We start from the raw sequence: 15,093 nt of genomic DNA on the forward strand, positions 1-15,093 counted from the left end.
ACCACAGAGGGCAGGCTGTTAGGGCCAGAAATCATGGGCTGGCATTTTTGTGCTGCATTCTTCCCCTCTGCCAGGTGCTGGGCTAGCCCCTGTCTACCCACCAGCTTTCGTGACTGCACGTCACATTCTAGGAGAGCGGGTTCCCCAAATGCAGACATGCAAGCTGGGGAGAACTCTCAGGCAGAAGCCCAGCCATGGGAAAGAAGAGAAAATATGGTCAGCAGACTCAGCGCTGGGTGCTTAGGTGTCCTGTGGGTCCTGGTCCTGAAGGTGGGGCAGGGTGACCCGCCCATCCCCAGCCTCATCACATGCTCCTGCCCTCTGTGGCAGGATGAGGCCCATGCCTGGCCTGGCGGGAGTGGATGTGAGGGAGTGGATGTCGCACTCTACATCCAGCCTGCAGAGTGACTCACAGACACCCACAGCCAAGGCTGCCACGCTTGTCACTCACCCTGAGTGACACGGTGAAGCACCTCCCAGCACCCAAGGTAACACAGCTATACCAATAGTAGATAAAGTGCTGGAGAAGAGGAATTTGAGAGACACGAGGAAGCTGGACTGGGAGATGAAGCAACTACTGTGAAATCTCTTCCCGTTGAGACAGCACAGGAAGTTACACTGAAAATAGGCTATGAGCTGACATGCATGCACAATTTGATTCCACACCTGGATTTCTGAATAAAACTAGGAAGAAATGAGGGTTTTATCCAAAAGCACCAAACAAAGCTGTTTTGATGCTGTTAGTTCTGTGCTCTTTTCTTGTCATTTACTTGATCATTAACCCAAGGTGACGCCAAAAAAAAAAAAAATGAAATGTAGGAGACATCCTTCAGCTAGATTAGAAAATCACCCAACCTATAGAAAAACATAAACGCGGCCAGGCATGGTGGCTCATGCCTGTAATCCCAGCACTTTGGGTGGCCAAGGCGGGCAGATCACAAGGTCAAGAGTTCAAGACCAGCCTGACCAATATGGTGAAACCCCATCTCTACTAAAAACACAAAAATTAGATGGGCGTGGTGGCGTGTGCCTATAGTCCCAGCTACTTGGGAGGCTGAGGCAGGAGAATTGCTTGAACCTGGGAAGTGGAGATTGCAGTGAGCCGAGATCGTGCCACTGCACTCCAGCCTGGGTGACAGAGCGAGACTCTGTCTCTAAAGGAAAAAAAAAAAAAAAGAAAGACAAACATAAACACAAAAAGGAAGCAAAGAAGGAAATGAGAGATTTGGGAGTGGCCTTGACTTGGAATGTGATGATGCCACCACCCCCAACCAGCTTGGCCCATTCTCTTCCTACCAGCCTCTGCCTCTCAGCCCCCACTCAGTGTATTCTATCTGCAGATAGGCGTTACACTGAATACTACAAAATAGGCTACTTTTATACTAGAAGGAATTCAATAAAAGTGAAATACATAAAAGCCCAGCGCTTATAGATTTTTATTATGATTCTTTCAACTAAGCTTTTAAAAATTCTCTGATGTTGGGAGAAGTATAACCAAGGTATCTTGCAGGACCAGACAAGGTGTCAGGAAGCAAAGTGGGTATGTCTACACAAAGACAAACGCCGGGGAAAAGAAAAACCCCATCTTTCCCGGGAGCCATGTTCGAGCTCAACACTCACCCCGATGTGCTTTTGGGGACAGCTTGCTTTATGCCAGTCCCCTTGAGGGTGTGGGGTCCCAGTGAGGTGGCTCCCACCAGTTGCATCTTTTTATAATCTTTCATGAAAGCGTTTCTTTTGTCTTAAACAGTGGTAATCTGTTTGATGTTCATAGAGATTGATGAGCGGCCTTGGGTGCCAGCAGAGAATCAGACAGATGGCAATAGTGACAATAAATAATTGTCATGTTTTTCACTTTTGTGGCCTCTACAATTCAAGGGTCTCAAAACACAGCGGAAATTTAGAATGATAGGAAAGGAAAAGACCTTGGGAAAGGGCATCTCGTCCATCCTTCCAACATCTCACCCCAGGGCTCATACTAAACAAGATGCTCTCATGCGCCCTTGGCCCCTGACTGCAGTGGGGATGGCTGTGTTCCCAGTGAGAACACAGGCACAGCCCCTAAGTTACAGGATGTGGCTTCTTCGTTGCCCCCAGGGGGATGGAAACTTGAAGACTCAAGGGCAGACAATACAGTGAACTCCGGGGCCCTCCCAGTGAGATGGGGAAGCTAAAGACAAGCTGAGGGCAGGTTTGGTGCAGGAGGTGGCAGCGGCCCCTCCGAGCACCATCCTGGCAGGGAAGGGCCACTTCTGGGAGCTGGAAGGGGCAGATGCTGGGAACATGCCCCAGACTCAAACCACACTGACACAGACCATCACACCATGGACAGCCCTGGCCGCCCTGTTCTTTCCTAGAATAACATGCTCAGTGGCATGCCTGCTGGAGCCCAAGCCAGGACTTCTTACATGCCGATTCCTCCCCACGGGCTGTTCTTTAGATGTTAAGAGAGGACATGGCAGGAGGTGGTGAACAAGCACTCATCTCACCTTCCAGCCGCTATCACAGAGCACCTAATGAACCGCAGTGTGCTAGAATTTCCACATGTGGGTAGAGAGAAAAAGAGGACAGTCTTCACCCAAATCTCAGTGCTGGGCACAGGGATAGAAGGATGGTGAGAAGAAATGAAGATCTGTTCTTCCTTCATTTGTCTTCCCATTTCCAATCCTCAAGAACCAGTTTGAGGAGAATGTCTGCCAAACCAGCTGCAAACATACTACTATTTAAATTTTCTTCATTTCAAAGGGTTTTAGAGGCCAGGCACAGTGGCTCACGCCTGTAATCCCAGCACTTTGGGAGGCTGGAGTGGGAGGATTGCTTAAGCCCAGGAGTTCCAGACCAGCCTTGGCAACATGGCAAAACCCTATCTCTACAAAAAAATAGAAAAATTAGCTGGGCGTGGTGGTTCACGTCTGTGGTCCCAGCTACTCAGGAGGCTGAGGTGGGAGGATCACCTGAGCCCAGAAGGTTGAGGCTGGGTTGAGCCATGTTCATGCCACTGCACTCCAGCCTGGGTGACAGAGTGCAACCCTACCTCAAAAAAAAGCTTGGGGGGGTGGGGGTCAGGCCTCTTCAGAACTGCGTGCCTCCTCGTAGGTCCATAATAAGAAGTTCCCCAGCCAAACCACCCAGGGGAGATTACTGTTTGCTGTCCTGGCCCCTCTTCCTTCCCTCGGGGCCCTATCTCTCCTGAATCTTACTTGTATCTTCATCCTCACCTCCTTCGCAAAAGAGGATCTTGCCTTGGACTAGAAAAGCAGAAATCATCCCGCATCCATACAGATCTTTAATCACATCCTTGTTCTTGAGATCCGAATTTAAAACATAGAGGTGTTGTCAGGCCCTTTAGGGCTTTGCACAGTGTCAAAGCGAGCAATCTGAATGGAAGGAGTTTTAATTTTTCAAAAATTAGCCAGCAGTGGTGGTGCACGTCTGCAGTCCCAGCTACTTGGGAGGATCATGTTTGAGAACAGGAGGTTGAGATTACAATGAGCTATGATCACGCCACTGCCTGGGCAACAGAATGAGACCCTGTACCCAAACATAAAATCTGACAAATTTCTTCACTTACTCTTTCCAACTAAAAAAAAAAAAAAATTTACTTGTTATGCAATCAGAAAACTGACCTCCAAACAGCAAATGTCAGCAAGTCAGTAGCAGGAGCCGACAACTCATTCAGGAAAAATGAAGCACTTTTTATAAAAGTCCTGTTTCTGGCTCAGTTATACTGTCCTAAGAACTGACATAGTAAGAAATAAGTCCAGGAATCATTAAAACAAGATAGAATCCAATGTCCTACGTGTTCCAAGAACACAGCTGTTGCTCAGAGGCTCAAGGCTTCGGCTACTCCTGTGTCAGCGCGCAACATAAACCCACCACAGAGAAAACCCAAGCACGAAGCACGACCGTGCTCTGCCATCTGGTGGCCAAAAGTGAAATGGCCCTGAAGGCGCAAAAGATTGAAAATAGATGTTTCCTAAACTGTAGTCATCAATAGCGAAACTTTCTCAAGTCGGCTACCAATAAGCAGTGGATGTTAGAATGCTGAAAAAAACAAATCCAATGTTGAAGAACCTCCTTTCTTTGGCCCTCCAGGCATGAATGAAAAGCTCTTAAATTGCTTGCCTAAATGAGCCCATCTGTTTACTAAACAGGGGTACATGAAAACATCAGTTACTAAGTATGCAGACTCTTTTGATCCTATGAAAGCACTGACCATCTATCCATGCTATGCAGATCTCTGTTGGTGATATAATTACAAGATGGGAAAGGGAAGTGTGACCGGGACACTCTGAGAGCCACTTGTAGTCTAAATGAGACACCCCGCAAAAGCAGTCACGTGAGCTTGGAAACTCAAACCCTGCTTTCCTAGCACACTGAAGCCTCAGAAGGCCATGCACACCTGTAATCCCAGCACTTTGGGAGTCCAAAGCAGGTGGATCACTTGAGTCCAGGAGTTTGAGACCAGCCTGGGTAACACAGACAGACGCCCGTCTCTACAAAAAATACAAAAATTAGCTGGCACATGCTTGTAGTCCCAGCGACTCAAGAGGCTGAGGTGGGAGAATCACTTGTGCCTAGGAGGTTGAAGCTGCAATGAGCCATGGTCACGCTGCCCTTGCACTCCAGCCTGAGCAACTAAGCAAGACCCTATCTCAAAAAAAAAAGGCCTCCAAAAAGTCTGAGTAAAAAAAAGTTGTGCTTTGCAGACACTGCTGCCGCCACCAGGAGCCCCATACTACCAGCCATGATCAACCCCATCGTGTGTTTCAACATCATTGTCAACGGCAAGCCCTTGGGCCACATCCCCTTCGAGCTGTTTGCAGACAAGATTCCAAAGACGGCAGAAAACTTTCACTCCTGAGCACTGGAGAGAAAGGATTTGGTTGTAAGGGTTCCTTTTCTCACTGAATTATTCCAGGGTTTATGTGTCAGGGTGGTAACTTCACAAGCCATAATGGCACTGGTGGCAAGTCCATCTATGGGGAGAAATTTGATGAGGAAAACTTCATCCTGAGGCATAGAGTTCCTGGCATCCTGTCCATGGCAAATGCTGGACCCAACAAAAATGGTTCCATTTATCATCTACACTGCCAAGACTGAATGGTTGTATGTGGCCCGGCACGGTGGCTCACGCCTATAATCCCAGCACTTTGGGAGCCCAAGGCGGGAGGATCCTGAGATCACGAGTTCAAGACCAGCCTGGCCAACATGGCGAAACCCCGTCTCTACTAAAAATACGAAAAATTAGCCGGGCATGGTGACGCATGCCTGTAGTCCCAGCTACTCGGGAGGCTGAGGCAGGAGAATCCCCAGACCTCCCCATGGCCTAGGTCAGGAGCCCAGAAGTGCCACATGGCTGAGGGAGCGCCATTTCCTGGGGGGATGGGGGATAAGAAGGTACCCTACAGGAGAAGCCAGGAGGGGCCGCCTGCCCCTGGGGTTGGGGCCTGGCCGAGGCAGGTGTCGGGCCTGAGAGCCTGGCTGGCTGAGCTCGGAGGGCCCCCAGGGAAGCCTGGCCCAGGGAGCAGTCGTGACTCTGCAGGGGAAGCCCAGCGAGGGAGCCCGGGAGGCAGAGGTTGCAGTGAAGTGAGATCACACCACTGCACTCCAGCCTGGTGACAGAGATAGGCTCTTTCTCAAAAAAAAAAAAAAAAAAAAAAAAGAATGAGTGGTTGGATGGCAAGCATGTGGTCTTTGGCAAGGTGAAAGAAGACATGGATATTGTGGAGGCCATGGAGCGCTTTGGGTCCAGGAACGGCGGGACCAGCAAGAAGATCACCACTGCTGACTGTGGACAACTCTAAGTATGACTTCTGTTTTATCTAAACTACCAGACCATTCCTTCTGTAGCTCAGGAGAGCACCCTCCACCCCATTTACTTGCAGTATCCTAGAATCTTTGTGTTCTCGCTGCAGTTCCCTTTGGGTCTATGTTTTCCTTATTCCCTTCCATGCCTAGCTGGATTGCAGAGTTCAGTTTACAATTATGAAATAAAAACAAAGGAAGGAAGGGAGGGAGGGAAAAGGAAAGAAAGAGTTGTTGGCTGGGTGCGGTGGCTCACACCTGTAATCCCAGCACTTTGGGAGTCTGAGGCAGGTGGATCACTTGAGCCCCAGAGTTTGAGACTAGCCTGGGCAATATGGTGAAACCCCATCTCTACTAAAAATACAAAAATTAGCCAGGCGAGGTGGCATGTGCCTCTAGTCCCAGCTACTCAGGAGGCTGAGGTGGGAGGATTGCTTGAATCCAGGAGGCAGACATTGCAGTGATCCAAGATTGTGCCACCACACTCTAGCCGGGGCAACAGAGTGAGACCTCATCTCAAAAAAAAAAAAAAGTAAGTTGTTTAACTTTGCTTAACTTAGCTTCCCAAATTCCTTTGACCTCTGAATAGGTTGTTGTTTTTTAGGTAGTTGTTTTTTAAATTGTTGTTTGTTGGATTGTTTTCTTTTCTGTTTTGTTTTTAGAGATGGGGTCTCCCTATGTTATTCAAGCTGGTCTTGAACTCCTGGGCTCAAGCAATCATTTCCCCTCAGCCTCCCGAGTAGCTGGGATTACAGGCTTGAGCCATCACATAGGGCTCTGTTGGATTTCTTTCAGTATATCCCAAAGAATTTGTAAAACACAAGTTGAAATGCAAATGCAGTCTCAGCTCTGCAGCTAGCTGAGCGATGTTTTGGAAAGTTATCTAACCTCCATGTGCTTTTATTTCTTCCAAAATAAATCAAGAGCAGAAAAAAGGTAAAAAGAGAAAATATTTTACTTCAGCCATTCCTAAGCTCTGCCATCGTTTTCTTATACCAATTTTCAACAACCTTGCACTGTAGATCATCTGGACTACTACTCAAAAATAGCCAACTGGTGACACGCATCTATCCCCTTCCTCTTTTCAAACCCAACTAGGCAGTGAACGGATAATAAAAGGCTATTCACTCATAAGGACAACAAAAAAAGCAGCACCCAGAGATATTGAACTTCAAGAAATGTTTGAAGACAAAGTGGGTGGAGAAATAGCAACCAGCTGAACAGAATAGAGGGTGTTACAATGTGGGGCACATTGTATTTTTCAAAGACATCTGAGATACTTCCTCCCACCTACATTCTTCTGCAATGTGACTTTGCCACTCTTCCATCAAAAAGGACAGTCTGATTCCCCTCCCCTTAAATCTGGGTTAGCCTTAGTGACTCTTCTATAACCCATAGAGGCCTTGTAGTTAGTTCTGTGGAAACCTTGCTCTCAGAACATTCCCTCTTAGATCCCAGCTGCCATGCTGTGAGGAAGCCCAAGCCACATGAGTCCTCCCAGCCCAGGTGGCAGACATGAGAGTAAAGAAGCCTCAGACAGAGACATCTTCTCTGAACACTTTATTGAAAACAACACCTTCTTTCCTGACAGTGGTCAAAAAAAAAAAAAAAAAAAACACTTTCGCCTGCCTAATTTTTATTCATAGCCATAATATAATTCATTTGTTTATTATTTTCCCTAGCTAGACTATAACCTTCATAAAGACAGAGAACCTTATCTTACTATTATATCCTCAACAACTAGAACAATACCTGGCACATAAAAGGAACTCAATAAATATTTGATTGATAAGTAAATGAATAAAGCAATCAGAAAAAAAAGAACAGGGAGAAACACAATCAATGGATGGAACAGATTAAAACTTCTACAAGGTATTAACATATATATGCACACATATATATGTATATATGTATATACACACACACATGTGTGTGTGTGTTTATATAGAGAGACAGATGTGGGAAGCCACTGAGGGAGCAGTTCAGATAAGAACAAACAGGGTAAAAGAAAGAACTCTTACAAAGTAAAAATGTGGCAGCTGAAATTTAAAAATTCAATAGAATGCTTATCAGATAAGGCTGACAAAATCTTCCGGATTATATCTCAAGGAAGAAATGTTAATAAAAAAAAAAATCTTCCAGAAAGTTGTACCAAGAGAAGGTGAGATGGAAAATGTGGGGAGGGGGAGTTAGGGGATCAGTCCAGGAGGTCTCCTGTCTAATGCAAGTTCCAGAAAACAAGAACAGAGAAAAATGGAACATAGATGAACAATGAAGTGAAATCCCAGGAAGCCACATGTGCACCAGCAGAGAACCCCGCCCAGCTGGAGCAGAACACAGGGGTTGGGGCCTGGGCATCTGGGAAGCATGGGACTGAGGCGGTGTGATCTGAGCATTTGGAAAAACCATTACAGGATATTTTGTTGGAAAGATCTGTTGAAGTATTTAGGAACCAAAAAATCCTTGTGTAGTGGTAGATCCATAGAAAACTACAAAAGTTAAAAAAAAAGATATAATTATTGCCTGCAGGAAAAGTAAAATATTGTACAATTTGGCCAGGCAACAGTGAGGCCTGAGTATCCTTTAACCCCCAGCTGTGATATCACCATGTTGGAAGGATGCAGTGGGGAGAGAAGGGCAGAGAGGACAAGGGAGTGGTATGAGGGAGGTGAGCCCTCAAGTACCACAGGAAACCAAAAGATTGCACCCGAGATGGATAACTAAGAACATAATAATATAAGCTTATTATTTAGAAATATGGACAACATACAGAAGAAAGAACCACAGCATCCTAGACTATCGGGGAACCTGCCCTGATAGTCACATAGGTTCTTTTCTATTTTCCCTAAGCGTCGGCCAGTTTGAGAAATAAATGGACAGAGTACAAAAGAGAGAAATTTTAAAGCTGGGCGTCCAGGGGAGACATCACATGTTGGTAGGTTCCGTGATGCCCCACAAGCTGCAAAACCAGCAAGTTTTTATTAGGGACTTTCAAAAGGGGAGGGAGTGTACGAATAGGTGTGGGTCACAGAGATCACGTGCTTCACAGGGTAATAGAATATCACAAGGCAAATGGAGGCAGGGCGAGATCACAGGACCACAGGACCAGGGCAAAATTAAAATTGCTAATGAAGTTTCTGGCACCATTGTCATTGATAACATCTTATCAGGAGACAGGGTTTTGAGAGCAACCAGTCTGACCAAAATTTATTAGGCAGGGAATTTCCTCTTCCTAATAAGCCTGGGAGTGCTATGGGAGACTGGGGTCTATTTCACCCCTACAGTTTCGACCATAGAAGACGGCCACACCCAAGGGGGCTGTCTATAAACCCACCCCCAGGCACGTATTCTCTTTCCCAGGGATGTTCTTTTCTGAGAAAAAGAATTCAGCAATATTTCTCCCATTTGCTTTTGAAAGAAGAGAAATACGGCTCTGTTCCGCCCGGCTCACCTGTGGTCAGAGTTTAAGGTTATCTCTCTTGTTCCCTGAACATTGCTGTTATCCTGCTCTTTTTTCAAGGTGCCCAGATTTCATATTGTTCAAACACACATGCTCTACAATTTGTGCAGTTAATGCAATTATCACAGGGTCCTGAGGCGACATACATCCTCCTCAACTGACAGGATGAAGAGAGTAAAGTAAAGACAGGCACAGGAAATCACAAGGTTATTGATTGGTGAAGTGATAAGTGTCCATGAAGTCTTCACAATTTATGTTCAGAGATTGCAGTAAAGACAGGCATAAGAAATTATAAAAGTATTAATTTGGGGAACTAATAAATGTCCATGAAATCTTCACAATCCACGTTCTTCTGCCATGGCTTCAGCTGGTCCCTCCGTTTGGGGTCCCTGACTTCCCACAACACTAGACAGGGGCCTTCTGGGAAGCAGAATGAAGAATAGAGAGAAATGGGAAAGGGGATTAATGTTTTTATTTATTTATTTGAGATGAAGTCTTGCTCTTGTCGCCCAGGCTAGAGTGCAATGGCATGATCTTGGCTCACTGCAAACTCCGCCTCCCGGGTTCAAGCGATTCTCCTGCCTCAGCCTCCTGAGTAGCTGGGATTACAGGCATACACCACCACACTGGCTAATTTTTGTATTTTTAGTAGAGACGGGGTTTTACCATGTTGGCCAGGCTGGTCTCGAACTCCTGACCTCAGGCGATCCACCCCCTCAGCCTCCCAAAGTGCTGAGATTACAGGCATGAGCCACTGCACTCAGCATCATGTTTGTCTTTATAAGCCTTTTGGTATTCATTGATTTTTCAGCCATGTGCATGTAGGTCTTTGATTTAAAAAAAAAAAAAATTTAAAAAGGAAAGGAAATAGACTAGAATGAAAGAGACACATGAGAAGACACTGTGGCAGTCTTGGGTAGTGAGGTCCTGGGCTTTGTTTTGCCTGACTTTTCCTTTTTTGTGTTTTCCAAATTTTCTGTAATAAGGATGTAATATATTTGTACTAGAAAAGTTCAAAATAAACATTTTTAACAAACATGCTTACAAATACTTAAACCAAGAGAAGGTGATATGGAAAATGTGGCGAGGGGGAGTTAGGGGATCAGTCCAGGAGGTCTCCTGTCTAATGCAAGTTCCAGAAAACAAGAACAGAAAAAATGGAACATAGATGAGCAGTGAAGTGAAATCCCAGGAAGCCACGTGTGCACCAGCAGAGAACCCTACCCAGCTGGGGCAGAACACAGGGGGCGGGGCCTGGGAGTCTCAGGGAAGCCCCACTGTAAGTTTCCTGCAGTTGAAGCCATGGGCCCAAAGTGTTGATATGCATAAGAATCACCCGGTTCCTTTGTTAGCTCGTTTATGGGGGGAAGAAAGGAATCACATGGTGACCAGCACAGTAGCTCATGCCTGTAACCCCAGGACTTTGGGAGACTGAGGTACAAGCATCGTCTGAGTCCAGGAGTTCAAGACCAACTGGGTGACATTGTGAGACCCCTGTCTCTACAAAAAAATTTTTTAATTAGCCAGGCATGGTGGTACCAGCCTGTAGTCCAAGCTACACAGGAGGCTGAGGCAGGAGGATTGCTTGAAGCCAGGAGTTCAAGACCAGCCTGGGCAACATAGCGAAACCTCATCTCTATTAAAAATTAAAAAAAAAAATTAGTCAGTCTTGGTGGCGCATGCCTGTAGTCCTAGCTACTTAAGAGGCTAAGGTGGGAGAATGACTTGAGCCCAGGGGGTTGAGGGTGCAGTGAGCCTGCAGTGAGCCTGCAGTGGAGCTATGATTGTGCCACTGCACTCCAGCCTGGGCAACAGTTGAGAATAGGTCTCAAAAAAAAAAAAAAAAGAAAGAAAGAAATCAACTGGGGAGTTACTGAAAATGCAGAACCCCAGGCCCGCCTCAGAGATGTGGACCTTTCTAGAGGCCCTACTATATGCTATAGTATTCTCATATAATTCAAAATGTAAAGCAATACCAAACCAGGAAATTATTTTTGATTTTTTATTTTTGAGACAGTCTCTCGCTCTATTGCCCAAGCTGGGGTACAGTGGTGTGATCTCGGCTCACTGCAACCTCTGCTCCCAAGTGATTCTCACGCCTCAGCTTCCCGAGTAGCTGGGATTACAGGTGTGCGTCACCACGCCTGGGTAATTTTTTGTATTTGTGGTCTATGTTGCCCAGGCTGATCTCAAACTCCTGACCTCAAGTGATCTGTCCACCTCAGCCTCCCAAAGTGCTGGGATTACAGGCGTGAGCCACCACACCTGGCCAGGAAATGATTTTTCTAATGTCCTAAGTTATCCAATACATGATACGCATACAGTGGATATGGAGTTTGAATAGCTGTCTTTCCGCAATGGACCATTTTCTAGCGTGTGTGCATAAGCATGCCCACATGTGCCTCTGCACTACTAATGCTTCAAGCAGGTGCCAGGCCTGCCTAGCAGCTCATCCAGCCCTGGTCAGAGCTGGGGGACCGAGATTTGTAACCGCATCCCCAGGTGACAGGGGAAACCTGGCTCCAGGACTCCATCCCACAGGGCAGAGCTCTCCCACTTTAATCCCTGTACCATTCAGTGCCGGCTAGATCCAGTTCTTTCCCCTGCTCACAACTCTGGGGCCACTCCAACCACAGGGGCAAGAGAGATCCTAGGGGCTGCAGCAGCTAGTACTAGCAACTCAACTGCAGAAAAGTTACAATGAAACAAGTTCTCCCAGGCAGAGGGAGTCAGAGCTCCTGCGGAGGTGTCCACACACCGTTCATTAATGCCTCACCCCTACCACCAAGGGACTGCCAGGTAGGGGGCTTTCCACACGCAGGACGTGGCTGGATTGCAAGGTTCCTATGACCCTAGAAATCCTGGTTGCCCAGAAAGATTTTGCCACCACAACCACCACTTCCCCCTCATCCCCCAGGGAGTTTAGCAATGTTTAGGGACATTCTTGTTTTAACGGAGGACTGGAGGAGTGGGGTGCCACTGGCATCTAGTAGGCAGAGGCCGGGCATGCGCTAAAAATCCCACATACGCAAGACAGCTTTCCCATCGCCCAACTCCAATAAAAAATTATCTGACCCAAAATGTTAATGGTGCCAAGCTTGACATGTGCTAGAGCCTGTGATACAATTATTCAAATAAGATAAAAATATTAGCTCTTCACTTCTTTTACCACAATAAAGCTCTATTATCTATAAACACTCGGCTCAATGGAATGAGTTCCCGGCTGTGTACAGAAGCTGGGACCATTTATAGACAGGTGCATTTGCAAGAACACCAGTCAATCCTTCCCAAGTTAAATCAAAATACAGACCATTGCCACCTCTCCTTAGAAGGCACAGATGTAGTCTCATAAAAGATGCTTTGCATATGATTTTTTTTAAGTCTTAGTTCCCACCAGAAGTTGGAGATGGTAAAAAATAAAATCCATATACAAAACTAGTGAGAAAAACAATTTGACAAGTGATATCCAATGCTAAAAATAAAGTGTTAGTTTCCTAGTATTCAGGAAAATATAAGCTACTGTAAGGCAAGTTCCAGATATCAGCACAGGGCACTGGGCTTCTGGCCTCTGTGCTCCACCACCTGGCAAGCAGCAGGAGACAAAACACCTTAAGGTCCCCAGCCCAGCCCTGCAGGTGTGTGTGTGTGGGGAGGAGTGGGGGGGCCTGGGGACAGCCATTGACCATGGAGTGGGTATCCCAGTGGGGTCCCCTGAAGGGCAGCAGGCACAGAAGAGCAGCTTGAGGCTGTCCCAGGGCGGTGGCTGTGTGAGTCTAGTTTTTGCTTTACCAAGTGTACAGAAATCACAATTACTTTTCTCTGATGCTCCCTTGAAGTCATAGAATTTAGGAGCTTTTTTAAAAAGGAAAAGAAAAACACAACCCCAAAAATAAAAGATATCAGCACAACATTTGTTGGGATGAATGAATGTACAATTGTGACGTCACACCAGCAATCAAAGCTCTGGCAGTGTGTGAGGGCGAGGTGTCTTATTAACTTTTGTTGTTTGGGTGTGGTAAGGCCACCAGATCAGGAGAGGGTTGTCATTGAAAAGAGAGTTGGTTATTCACAGCCCCAAGAGGAGGGGGCGAGCTACACTATAAAAGGGCCATGCGGGGAAGCCCAGGGTGGTTTAAGAGGCCGTGAGAGAGGGAAAAGTGGGGGCAAGGGAGAGAACACAGTCTTGGGACTGGTGAGTTGGAATAATTTGGGTGGGTTCTGGGACATACGGGCTGTCCCTCATCGTCTGGTACCTGACTCTAGGATGATTAGGGCAGGTAGACCGTAGCCTACAGTGTGAGACCGCAGCCTAGAGTGTGAGACCACAGCCTAGAGTGAGAGCCTTCAAAGGAAGTGGTGGAGTCGTGGGCTCTGGGTTGGTTGGTTTGCATTTGAAAAGCACACTGGAGAGCCAGCTGTCTACTGCTTCTAGGAACTGGCTAACCTACCAGAGGGTCAGCAAGGCCCAGACATCAAAGCGTTAAAATACAGAAAAAAAAGATGTGACTGGGCACAGTGCTCACACCTGTAATCCCAGCACTTTGGGAGGCTGAGGCGGGTGGATCACCTGAGGTCAGGAGTTTGAGACCAGCCTGACCAACATGGAGGGACCCCGTCTCTACTAAAAATAAAAAATTAGCCGGGCATGGTAGTGCATGCCTGTAATCCCAGCTACTCGGGAGGCTGAGGCAGGAGAATTGCTTGAACCTAGGAGGCGGAGGTCGCGGTGATGAGATCACGCCATTGTACTCCAGCCTGGGCAACAAGAGTAAAGCTCCATCTCAAAAAAAAAAAAAGAGAGAGAGAGATGTGGTTAATACACAAGGGGAATGTCAGAGTCAATAACAAAATATGTGACATAATAAGCTGATGCTTGCTGTGTACGCATAGGTCCATGAAAAGGAGATATATATTCAAGGTGAATGGAGCCTGACTGGGTAGCTTCTTTTTCCCCCTGCAGATTAGATTTTATTTAAATGGCCGGGTCAATTTCAGAGAACGGAAATCTCTAAGGTAAGTCAATCATGGGGGCAGAAAATATTTCTTCACCAAAGAATGTAAGAGAATATAAAGAATTTTCAAATCCCCCCACCCCGTAAAATAACCACACAAATGGCTGGGTCAAAAAAACAGACCAATAAAATCATACATACACCCAAATGTCCCTCAACAGATGAATGAATGAATAAAATGCAGTCTACTCATACAATGGAATATTATTCAGCAGTAAAAAGGAGTGGAGTACTGATGCATGCTACAACATGGATGACCCTTGAAAACATCATGCTATGTGGAAGAAGCCAAACAGTCGTCACATATTGTACGATTCCATTTATGTTAAATGTCCAGAATAGGCAAACCCATAGAGACAAAAAGTAGACTCGTGTTGCCAGGGACCTCATGAGGGGAAGAGGGACTGGGGAGTGACTGCTAATGAGTTTCTTTTGGGGGTGATGAAAATGTTCTAAAATTAGTGGTGGTAGCTGCAAACTATGAATACACTTTTTTTTTTGAGACAGAGTCTCACTCTGTCACCCAGGCTGGAGTACAGTGGCACAATCTCAGCTCACTACAACCTCTACCTCCCAGGTTCAAGCAATTCTCCTGCCTCAGCCTCCCAAGTAGCTGGAATTACAGGCACACACCACCATGCCTGGCTAATTTTTTATATTTTTAGTAGAAACAGGGTTTTGCCACATTGATCGGGCTGGTCTTGAATTCCTGACCTCAGTGGTCTGCCCACCTTGGCCTCCCAAAGTGCTGGAATTACAGGCATGAGCCACCGCGCCCGGCCTGAATATACTTTTTAAAGATGTACTGAATTG

General features: G+C 46.4%; 1 pseudogene, besides 2 other annotated features; it reads left to right on the top strand.

Annotated features, from left to right (window-relative positions):
• Positions 248 to 748: an enhancer, noted in NCBI's record as "H3K4me1 hESC enhancer chr2:206809315-206809815 (GRCh37/hg19 assembly coordinates)". NCBI's record gives its function as "activates a minimal SCP1, AML or CMV promoter by ChIP-STARR-seq in naive and primed H9 embryonic stem cells {active_cell/tissue: H9 hESC(naive and primed)}" and the evidence as "EXISTENCE:reporter gene assay evidence [ECO:0000049][PMID:30033119]".
• Positions 2,220 to 2,719: an enhancer, noted in NCBI's record as "H3K27ac hESC enhancer chr2:206811287-206811786 (GRCh37/hg19 assembly coordinates)". NCBI's record gives its function as "activates a minimal SCP1, AML or CMV promoter by ChIP-STARR-seq in naive H9 embryonic stem cells {active_cell/tissue: H9 hESC(naive)}" and the evidence as "EXISTENCE:reporter gene assay evidence [ECO:0000049][PMID:30033119]".
• PPIAP68 (peptidylprolyl isomerase A pseudogene 68) lies at positions 4,748 to 5,802 on the top strand (annotated as a pseudogene).

The sequence above is a fragment of the Homo sapiens genome, chromosome 2 (genome assembly GCF_000001405.40).
Source record: "Homo sapiens chromosome 2, GRCh38.p14 Primary Assembly".
NCBI lineage: Eukaryota > Metazoa > Chordata > Mammalia > Primates > Hominidae > Homo > Homo sapiens.